This window comes from Homo sapiens, chromosome 10 (genome assembly GCF_000001405.40).
Source record: "Homo sapiens chromosome 10, GRCh38.p14 Primary Assembly".
NCBI lineage: Eukaryota > Metazoa > Chordata > Mammalia > Primates > Hominidae > Homo > Homo sapiens.
In genome coordinates, this window is record NC_000010.11 from 116,534,656 (window position 1) to 116,545,507 (window position 10,852).

Below are 10,852 nucleotides of genomic sequence, written 5' to 3' on the forward strand. Positions count from 1 at the left end.
CATTCCTTTTTATGGTTGCTATTTTTTACTTCTTATTTGTTTACTTTTAAACTTTTATTTTAGGTTCAGGGGTACATGTGCAGGTTTGTTATTAATATACAGGTAAACTGGGTTGCAAGGGTTTGGTGTGCAGATTATTTCGTCACCCAGGAAGTAAGCATAGTTAACAGATACAGTTTTTCCATCCTCACCCTCCTTCTACCCTCCACCCTCAAATAGGCACCAGTGTCTGTTGTTCCCTTCTGTGTGTCCATATGTACTCAAAATTTAGCTCCCACTTATAAGTAGTATTTGGTTTTCTGTTTCTTTGTGAGTTTGCTTAGGATAATGGCCTCCAGCTGCATCCATGTTGCTGCAAAGGACATGATCTCATTCTTTTTTATGGCTGCATAGTATTACATTGTGTATATGTACCATTTTTTTTAATCCAGTCTACCATTGATGGGCATTTACGTTGATTCCATGTCTTTGCTATTGTGAATAGTGCTGCGATGAACATATATATGCATGTGTCTCTATGGTGGAATGATTTATATTCATTCGGGTATATACCCAAGAATGGGATTGTTGGGTCGAATGGTAATTCTGTTTTAAGTTCTTTGAGAAATTACCAAACTTCTTTCCACAATGGCTGGAATAATTTACATTTCACCAGCAGTGTGTAAGCATTTCCTTTTCTCCACAATCTCGCCAATATCTGTCTGATATTTTTGACTTTTTGATAATAGCCATTACGGCTGTTGTGAGATGGTATCTCATTGTGGTTTTGATTTGCATTTCTCTAATGATTAGTGATGTTGAGCATTTTTTCCTATGCTTGTTGGCCACATGAATGTCTTCTTTTGAAAAGTGTCAGTTCATAATCTTTGCCCACTTTTTATAGTGTTGTTTGGTTTTTGCTTGTAAATTTGTTTAAGTTCCTTATAGATTCTGGATATTAGACCTTTGTGGGATGCATAGTTTGCAAATATTTTCTTCCATTCTGTAGGGTGACTGTTTATTCTGTTGATAGTTTCTTTTGCTGTGCAGAAGCTCTTAGCTTAATTAGGTCCCATTTATAAATTTTTGTTTCCATTGCAATTACTTTTGGCATCTTGATCATGAAGTCTTTGCCATGTCCTATGTCCATAATGACATTTTCTCAGCTGTCTTCCAGGGTTTTTGTAGTTTTACATTTAAGTCTTTAATCCATCTCGAGTTAATTTTGGTATACGGTATAAGGAAGGGATCAAGTTTCAATCTTTTGCATATGGCTAGCCAGTTATCCCAGTATCATTTATTGAATAGGGAATCCTTTCCCCACTGCTTGTTTTTGTCAATTTTGTCTAAGATCAGATGGTTGTAGGCGTGTAGCATTATTTCTGGGTTCTCTATTCCATTCCATTGATCTATGTGTCTGTTTTCATACCAGTACCGTGCTGTTTTGGTTACTGTAGCCTTGTAGTATATTTTGAAGTCAAGTAATGTTATGCCTCCAGCTTTGTTCTTTTTGCTTAGGACTTACTTGGTTATTCAGATTCTTTTTTGATTCCATATGAATTTTCTAATTACATGAATAATGTTGATAGGAGTAGCATTGAATCTGTAAATTGCTTTGAGTAATATGGCCATTTTAACAATATTGATTCTTCCTAATTCTCGTTGGAGAGGTCTTTCACGTCTTTGGTTAGCTATATTCCTAGGTATTTTATTCTTTTTGCAGCTATTGTGAATGGGAATGCACTCTTGATTTGGCTCTCAGCTTGAATGTGATTGGTGTTAGGAATGCTACTGATTTTTGTACATTGATTTTGTATCCTGAAACTTTGCTGAAGTTGTTTATCAGATCAAGGAGCCTTTGGGCAGACACCATGGGGTTTGCCAGGTATTGAATAATATCCTCTGCAAACAAGCATAGTTTGACTTCCTCTCATTATTTGAATACCTTTTATTTCTTTCTCTTGCCTAATTGCTCTGGTTAGGACTTCCAGAACTATGTTGAATAGGAGTGGTGAGAATGAGCATCCTTGTCTTGTTCCACTTTTCAAGGGAAATGTTCCAGCTTTTGTCCATTCAGTATGATGTTGACCATGGGTTTGTCAAAGATAGCTCTTATTATTTTGAGATATGTTTCTTCAATACTTATTTTATTGAGGGTTTTTAACATGAATGGATGTTTAATTTTATCAAAATATTTTCTGCATCTATCAGGATGATTATGTGGTTTTCACATGGACACAAACAACTATGACACTACTCTTGTGACTTAGGACCATTGTTAAGTAATACAAAGCTTCCCTGAACAAAACCACTGGATACCCCAACAGTTGATCTGATGACCCAGACAACTGATTACCAAGTGACTAACACATAGGTAGCATGTCCAGCCTGGAAATGCTGAACAAAGCGATGATTCATGTCCCAGCCAGGAGGGAGTAGGACAGTGCAAAATTTGATAATGCTACGCAGAAGAGCATGCAATCTAAAGCATATGAAGTGTTTATTTTATTTCTAGAATTTTCCAATTAATATTTTCAAACTGTGTTTGGCCACAGGTAACTGAAACTGCAGAAAGAGAAACCATTAATAAAAACAGACTGCTGTATTTAATGTTGTCATAGTTTAGTTAATGAACACTTGGGTTACTTTCATCTTGGGCTATTATGAATAAAGCTGCTATGACTGTTCATGGAAAAGTCTTTTTGTGGATATATGCTTATACCTAGTTGTGGAATTGCTGTTTTTTATGTAAGTGTCGTTTACCTTTATAGGAAACTGTCAAACTTTTCCAAACTGTTTGTCAATTTGATACTCCCACTAGCACTTTATGCACTTTATGAAATTTCCAATTGTTCTACACCTTTGGAATTGTCAGATATTTGCCATCTTACTGGGCTGTAATATTTCCTTGTGATTCTGTTGTGCATTTTTCCAATGACTAAAGGTGTTGAGCGTATTTTTGCATGCTTGTTAGCCACCTATGCATCTTTTTTGTGAAGTTATTGATTAAATATTTTTCTTCTTTCTTTCTTTCTCTCTCTCTCTCTCTTTCTTTCTTTCTCTTTCTTTTTCTTTCTTTTTTTTAGATGGAGTCTAGCTCTGTCACCAGGCTGGAGTGCAGTGGCATGATCTTGACTCACTGCAACCTTCACCTCCCAGGTTCAAGCAATTGTACTGCCACAGCCTCCCAAGTAGCTGGGATTACAGGCACGTGCCGCCATGCCCAGCTAATTTTTGCATTTTTAGTAGAGATGTGGTTTCACCATGTTGGCCAAGATGGTCTCAATCTCCTGACCGTGTGATCTGCCCACCTGGACCTCCCAAAGTGCTGGGATTACAGGAGTGAGCCACTGCACCCGGCCTGATTAAATATTTTTCTATCTTTGTAGGTTGTTTGTTTTACTATCATGTTTGTAAGAATTATTTTTATATTCTGGATACAAGTTCTTTGTTAGGAGTGTATTGTAGACACTTTTTCCAAGTCTGTGTCTTGCCTGAAAAGGCAATGAAAATTTTCTTAACAATATCTTTTGAAGAATAGGGTTTTAGTTCTTGTTTAGACAGCACATATACTAAAATTGGAATGATACAGAGAAGATTAGCATGACCCTGCACAAGGATGAAGAGTAGGTTTTAAATTTTCATAAAGTCCAGTTTATCTGTTTTTTTATAGAGTGATTTTTATGTTTTGTCTAAGAAATCTTTGCTTATTCTAAGGTAGCAAATATTTTTCTCCTCTATTTTCTACTAGAAGATTTTGGTTTTGGCTTTTACATTTAGGTCTGTGACTTTCAGCACACTAAATACAGTAGTCCCTTCTTATCCATGTTTCTCTTTTTGCAGGTTCAGTTACATATGGTCAACCATAGTCCAAAAATGTTAACTGGAAAATTCCAGAAATAAACAATTCATGCATTTTAAATTGCATGCTGTTCTGTGTAGCATGATCAAATTTCACAGTGCCCTACTCCCTCCTGCCTGGGACATGAATCATCCCTTTGTCCAGCATTTCCAGGCTGGACATGCTACCTAGGCATTAGTCACTTGGTAATCAGTTGTCTTGGTTATCAGATCAGCTGTTGTGGTATCCAGTGCTGTTGTTCAGTTAAGCCTCATTTTACTTAATAATGGCCCTCAATCACAAGAATAGTGATACCTATGTCAGTCACCTCACTTTATCACCACACATAGGCATTATATCATCTCATATCATCACAAGAAGGGTGAGTAGAGTATAATAAGTTATTAAGACAGACAGAGAGAGAGGGATGGAAAGAAAGTGAGAGAGACCACATGTACATCAATTTTATGGCCGTACACTGTTCTATTTTATTATTAGTTATTGTTGTTACTCTCTTACTGTGCCTAATTTATAAATTAAACTTTGTTATAGTTATGTATGTATAGAAAAAACATAGTATATATAGGTTCAGTATTATTCACAGTTCTAGGAATCCACTGGGGTCTTAGAATATACTCCCCATGAATAAAGGGGAACTACTGTAAGCCATTCCATTGTCTTTGGCTTGCTGTTTCCATTGAAAAGTCTGCAGTCATTCCTTCTTTGTTTTCCCTGTATCTTTCTCCCCCTGTCTGCTTTTAAGTTTTTTTTTTCTCTATTATTGGGTTTCACAGTTTTACCATTTTTTGTGTTTTTTTTTGGTTTTCATTGGATTTATCCTACTTGATATTGTTCAACTTCTTGGATACATAGATTCATTTTTACAAATCAATATTGGATATTTTCAGCCATGATTTCTCCAATTTTATTTAACACTTGACCCAGGACTGCAATTAGATGCATGTGAAACTGCTTATTATTACCCCAAAGATCATGAAGACTCTGCAGATTTTTCAGCCCTTTTTTCCCCTCTCTGAACTTGGCAGTGTGAATGGTTTTTCTATTGCCATGTCTCAGTTTTCTGATATTCTCTTCTGTATTTCTTAATATGCTAATCTTGCCTAATAGTTACTATTTGTCTTCTCATTATGCCTATGTTTTCCTTTAGCTCTTAATCTTATTTATAATAGCTGTTTTAAAGTACTCATCTGTTAATATTATAATCCCTATCAATTCTAGGTCTCCTTCTATTGACTAGTGAGTCATATTTTTCTGCTTCTTTGTATGCCAAATAATTTGATAATGGATACTGAATACCAATAATTTTACATTTTTGCAGATCAGATTGATGCTTGAAGATTTGTTTTTATGCTTTCTTATGGCAGATTGAGATTAACCTTTATTCTAGGGATATTTTAGTCCTCCTAAAGCATGGCCTTTTGGGGGTGTCTACTAAATGCTCTGATTATACAATAAAATCTCTTACTCTGTTGGACCGAATGTCTTCCATCATGTGTGAGCTCCAGGAGTTGTTTGGATTACAAAGTCCACCAGCAAATTGTTCTTTCTCATATGGTTGTTATCTGACCAGTCTCATGGAATCTTATGCTTTGTAAGCATGTTAGTATTATTCAAGGACTCAAGTGGACTCCTGTGCCAGTTTCTGGAGCTTTTCATATTTGTAGCTTCTCCTCTTCAGTACTCTGCTCTGCTCATTCCAAATACTTTGGCCTCACTGAAATCTGATCTTCATCTCCTCAGCCTGTTGAGTCTACCTTTCTCTTCTCAGATTCTCCCTCTCTCTGCTAGGGTCCTGGAAATGTCTCCAGACATATAGCTGAAGTAATTGGTGATCTCACCTCATTTGTTTTCCTTTTTCACTTATTTTAGTCTTGCATTGCTTATTGTCCAATCTTGGGAAACTTCATATATATTTTCCAGACTTTTAATTATTTATGGTAAAAGAGCAAGTCTGAAGCCAGTTGCCCCATCATGGCTAGAAGTGTAAATCCCTCAGCTTATAATTTTTGAAAGAGACTTTGCTTCATGCCTTACAAGGGTAGTTGTGGAATGCGCATGAATAACAACCTCTGGCTTAGCCTGCCCCTTTGTGAGCCTCCTTGTATAATTCATAATTGTTTGGTGCCTCAAACATCTTAGGTATGGAACAAATATATATATTTGGTACAAATTATTGTTAGTCGATTTTTTTTTCTTTTTGACTTTTCTCTTTTGTGCTTTCTCTTTTTTCACTTTCATTACACCTCTCAATAGTCATGCTGTGATCTTTGGGTCTGTTGAATTTTGCAACTCTTCCTATTTACTCTCTCTTCTTGTTCATTGGCACCTGGAAAAGTTTGTTATTCCATTCTTTAGTACTTTCAGTTGTCTCCCATTCCAAACCCATTGAGAGTGCATATTTTGAAAGAAGCTCATAAGGGGTGGAAGATGGGCTAAGTGGGTATACAACAGGGTTGACCGGAAACCACAGAGAAGCTAAGCAGATCTGTAAAGCTGTATTTGTGATGTAAAGAGAGTAAAGTTAATCTAGAATTGTGCAATACATTACAGCAGCCACTAGCCACATATGACCATTGATCAGTTGACATGTGACTAGTACCACATGTTAATATTGATATGATAATATTTTGTATGTATTGAATTATAAAAATCGTTAACATTATTTTCACTGGTTTCTTTTTGCATTTTAAATGTGGCTTGCTTATATTCCTATTGGGCAGTGCTAATCTAGAAAGCACAAGAGAGGGGAAGGGAAGTGAGGTTTTAAGAAAGACAGTACAATGACCAGTCTGCATTTTAGAACTGACTTTCTAACAGTGTATAGAGAACAGACAGAAAAGGAACAGTCTGAGGGCAAGGAAGGCAGTTAGACTACTGTGATGGCTCAGGAAAGACATGATTTGTCATATTCAGTATCACAAAAGTTGTATTTCTGTTTGATAAAATTACCATTTACTACATTAGTATTGGAAAGCAGACTATAAATAAAACAAAAAAATAGGCTATACAAAGCGTATTTGCATGAATTTGTTTTGGAAAGCAAATACCCAGTCTTACACACCTGTATATACATACTAATGCCCCCTGGTATTCATTCCTGACTATATTTTAGTCCAAGGCTAGACTAACACAGCCTGGGAAAAGATGGCCTTCCGTGGATTGACACAAACAAGTCATTTGGAAATGGTGAGAAGAAATTGTCCCTCCTGACAGCTCTGCTACTTACCAACTGTGTGTTCCTGGGCAGGTTGATTAAACTCATGTCTCACCGACTTCATAAGGAAAACAGCTAATCCTTTAAGTTTGGTGGGAGATTAAAGGCAAAAACTTAAAAAGTGTGGAAACCTAAATAATTAATGCTATAAAATTTTAGGTATGCTTGTTATTCTAGGCCACAAAGAAAACCATCTTTATGCATAACAGAAGAGGGTTGACTATACGTTCACGCCTTGGGCCTGGATAGTGAAAGTGTGACCCACTCACATTTGGCAGGATGGTTGCTCTCTAGAAGGTGTGAAGCAATTAACCACCCCCAGAACTTCACAGTATTTTTCTGCTCAGGGAAGTTTGGGATACTCCAGAGAGCATGTCTTCCTCACCTTCAATGATCTTGGAAAGAGGCTGAGCTAGATAAAGGGAAGCAGGACAGGCTCTCTGAAGGTTAAGTAAATGAGACCTCCTTTGGCTAACATGCTGGTTATCTGGCCACACAGGTGTTCTGAAACCTTTCTTTCCCTCACCAGGAGTTTAGTATCACAAGGTTGTCAGAAGCAGAGCCTAAACTTAAACCAATATTTAACTCTGCTGCAATTTGATTAGAAGCATCCAAGTTTGGCATTTTTATTTTCAAATGTGCAAGGTTTCTGGGGCAAAGTTGAACTGATGTTATATAATGCATTGGTAAATAGGACACATGGAATTAATTCTCAGTGAGATCCCATCTTGGCTGTCAATGCCATGAGGTAGTAGGGTGAGGACTCTCAATGCTTCATTACCATTTGAACAGCTTCTTGTCAAGCCTGCAATCCTGAGATGTGAGGAGTGACAGAGGCTGGTAGAAAGTAGGGTTTTGATGGGAGCTCCAATCTGCCTCTGGTGTTGCAGGGTCTCCTATGTATCAAGAACATTGAGCTGCTCCAAGTTCAGATCAGTTGTGTCTAGGGACCCAGGCAACACTGGGTGAATTTTCTCTAAATTGTGGGTATCATACGGGCTCAGACTGAAGGTAGAACAATAGTCACCACTAGGGACTGAACTGAAAAATGCCCATTAGAATTTAAAATTTACCACAATAAAGTGAATACTTGAGCACTTATATTCTGTGATATGGGAAGTGGCAGGAAAGGGATTTTCAAAAAATCAAGTATTAGAAAAAAATCTGTCCAAGCATTAGTGTTATCCGTAAGTACCATCCAAATCTCATGTTGAAATTTTTAGCCCGGCATTTAATGTTTGATACATGGACTGTTCATGGAAGTAGAAGAAACATTCTATAATAAATAATCTATTGGTTAAGATAATGTTAATTGTTATAACCCTTAAATCTCAAGGCTTAAGATAATAATTCATTTATTGCTCACGTACAATTTAAAATGGATGTTTGTGATTGTGGGTAGTGTTCCATTAAGCAGGGATCCCAGGTTCCTTCCATCTTGTGTTTCTACCAGCTTCAACACATGGCCTTTAAGGATTTGTATTTGTCTGCATCAAGCCACAGAAGGCATGGCACATGGAGGACCATGTGTGGGTTTTTTTGTTTTTTGTTTTTTGAGACGGAGTCTTGCTCTGTTGCCAGGCTGGAGTGCAATGGCTTGATCTCAGCTCACTGCAACCTCCGCCTCCCAGGTTCAAGCGATTCTCCTGCCTCAGCCTCCCGAGTAGCTGGGACTACAGGCGTGCGCCAACACGCCCGGCTAATTTGCTTGGATTTTTAGTAGAGATGGGGTTTCACCATGTTGGCCAGGATGGTCTGGATCTGACCTTGTGATCCACCCGCCTCGGCCTCCCAAAGTGCTGGGATTACAGAGCTGAGCCACCACGACCAGCCACTGTGTGGGTTTTTAGGAACAGGACTGACGGGGGTGCACATCCACGCACTCACATCTCTGTAGCCAGAGAACTGGTTACATGACCCCATCTCCCTGCAAGGGAGGACAGAGAATAGAGTCTAGTTCTATTCCCTGTAGAAAGACGCTAGCAAGGCCAGGTGCGGTGCCTCACGCCTGTAATCCCAGCACTCTGGGAGGCCAAGGCAGATGGATCACGAGGTCAGGAGATCAAGACCACCCCGGCTAACACGGTGAAACCCCATCTCTATTAAAAATACAAAAAATTAGCCAAGCGTGGTGGTGGGCACCTGTAGTCCCAACTACTCAGGAGGCTGAGGCAGGAGAATGGCATGAACCCGGGAGGCGGAGCTTGCAGTGAGCTGAGATCGCGCCACTGCACTCCAGCCTGGGGGACAGATGGAGAATCCATCTCAAAAAAAAAAAAAAAAAAAGATGCTAGCAACTTTGCCACACATACTATGAAAATAGACGCTTCTAGATAGTACATTGTTGTCTGAATGAAACAATGTAGTTTATAACATTTCACAACCCAGCTTAAGAGTTCAACAGGATTATGTATAGAGGAAGTTATTCATCCAGAGCAGATGTAATAGACGGCTGATTATGTACCATTCCGTTCTTAGCTTTTATAAATTTGAGAAGTTGAATCTTCTTGAGATATTATAAAATTTGAACTTATTTTAGTTTACAAAATATCCCCACAGATTTCACTATTTCAGAATTTGGTGACTATTGATCCTAATTCTTTATACTATATTAAACAAATGTCCCCCTAATTATGGATTACATTTTGTGCCATCTAAAATGACAACTTAGAAACTTTGTGTGAATTACTTGGTAACTCACACAAAATGTAAATAACTTCATGGTAAAACCAGAGGAAACAATGACTGTCATAGGATATGACTCTGAGATCAATGTAGCATTACCATCACTAAATACTAGAGAGATGCAAGACTTCTGTTTTTAGAGGCTTCTGGATTTTTTTTTCCACATGTTTTGAATAAAAGAAATTTCAACAGCTTTTTACTTATGAGACTGTGGAGACAATTATTATTGCAGCCATTATGCAAAATAAATTGCTTTGCTTTTCATATTCATTCCATTTGTTCAATCATCCATCAGAGATGTTTTGAAGGCCTGCTGTGTATCAAGCACTGGGCTAGGTGCTAGGATGTGACAACAAGGCCCTGAGCATTCCAGCCTTCTCTGAGTTTATAATATACAAATGATCAGTCTTAAGTGAGAGAAGTTCTAAAAAGAACCTTCCTTAGAGGGAACAAGGGAACCAGCTTAACCATGGCTGGGGAAGATTGCCTGAGGAGGGGATGAAAGGCTGATATTTGAAAGATTAGGTAGGAATTTGCCATGGTGTCCATCCATGGATCCTTCCTTGTGCCTTCTGTCTTTATCTTAACAATTCCCTTGCCAAACTTCCTTGAACTTCCCTTGTACACGATAATTCTGTTGCTTTTCTCTATACCTATAAACTTTTCCAGGGGATTGAATTATTTTTGACCACTTTTGACCTACGAATGTGACAATTTCAACAACTCAGTGTATAGCTGTGACACTTTCAGGCTAAAAGGTTCTGGTCTCTTAAAATTATGGTATCACATTGTACTCTTTTTAACATTTATTGTAAGCAATCCATCATTAACTGAAAACATCCCAGTTATTTTCCATCAAACAATTCTCTTTCAGATTATTTTTTCTAAACCATTTTCTTCCAAGTTGAGTCATATTTTTTCTGCTTATTCATCATTTCATCTGATAGTGGGGTCAGTGATTCTGCCTCTATGCTTTCGGCTGTACCTCCAATTCCTTTTCTTAGCTTGTTTATTCTTTCCTCCATGACATTGTTGAGAAATAAATCAGTTCTATGGACTATCAAAATTAATCAAATGCTTTTCCAGAAGGTATGAGCTCTCTTGAAGGATTG

At 37.8% G+C, this 10,852-nt stretch overlaps 1 pseudogene, besides 1 other annotated feature; it reads left to right on the forward strand.

The window, feature by feature from the left end:
- Positions 3,528-3,621, forward strand: RNU6-1090P (RNA, U6 small nuclear 1090, pseudogene; annotated as a pseudogene).
- Positions 7,564-8,094: an enhancer, noted in NCBI's record as "NANOG hESC enhancer chr10:118301731-118302261 (GRCh37/hg19 assembly coordinates)". NCBI's record gives its function as "activates a minimal SCP1, AML or CMV promoter by ChIP-STARR-seq in naive H9 embryonic stem cells {active_cell/tissue: H9 hESC(naive)}" and the evidence as "EXISTENCE:reporter gene assay evidence [ECO:0000049][PMID:30033119]".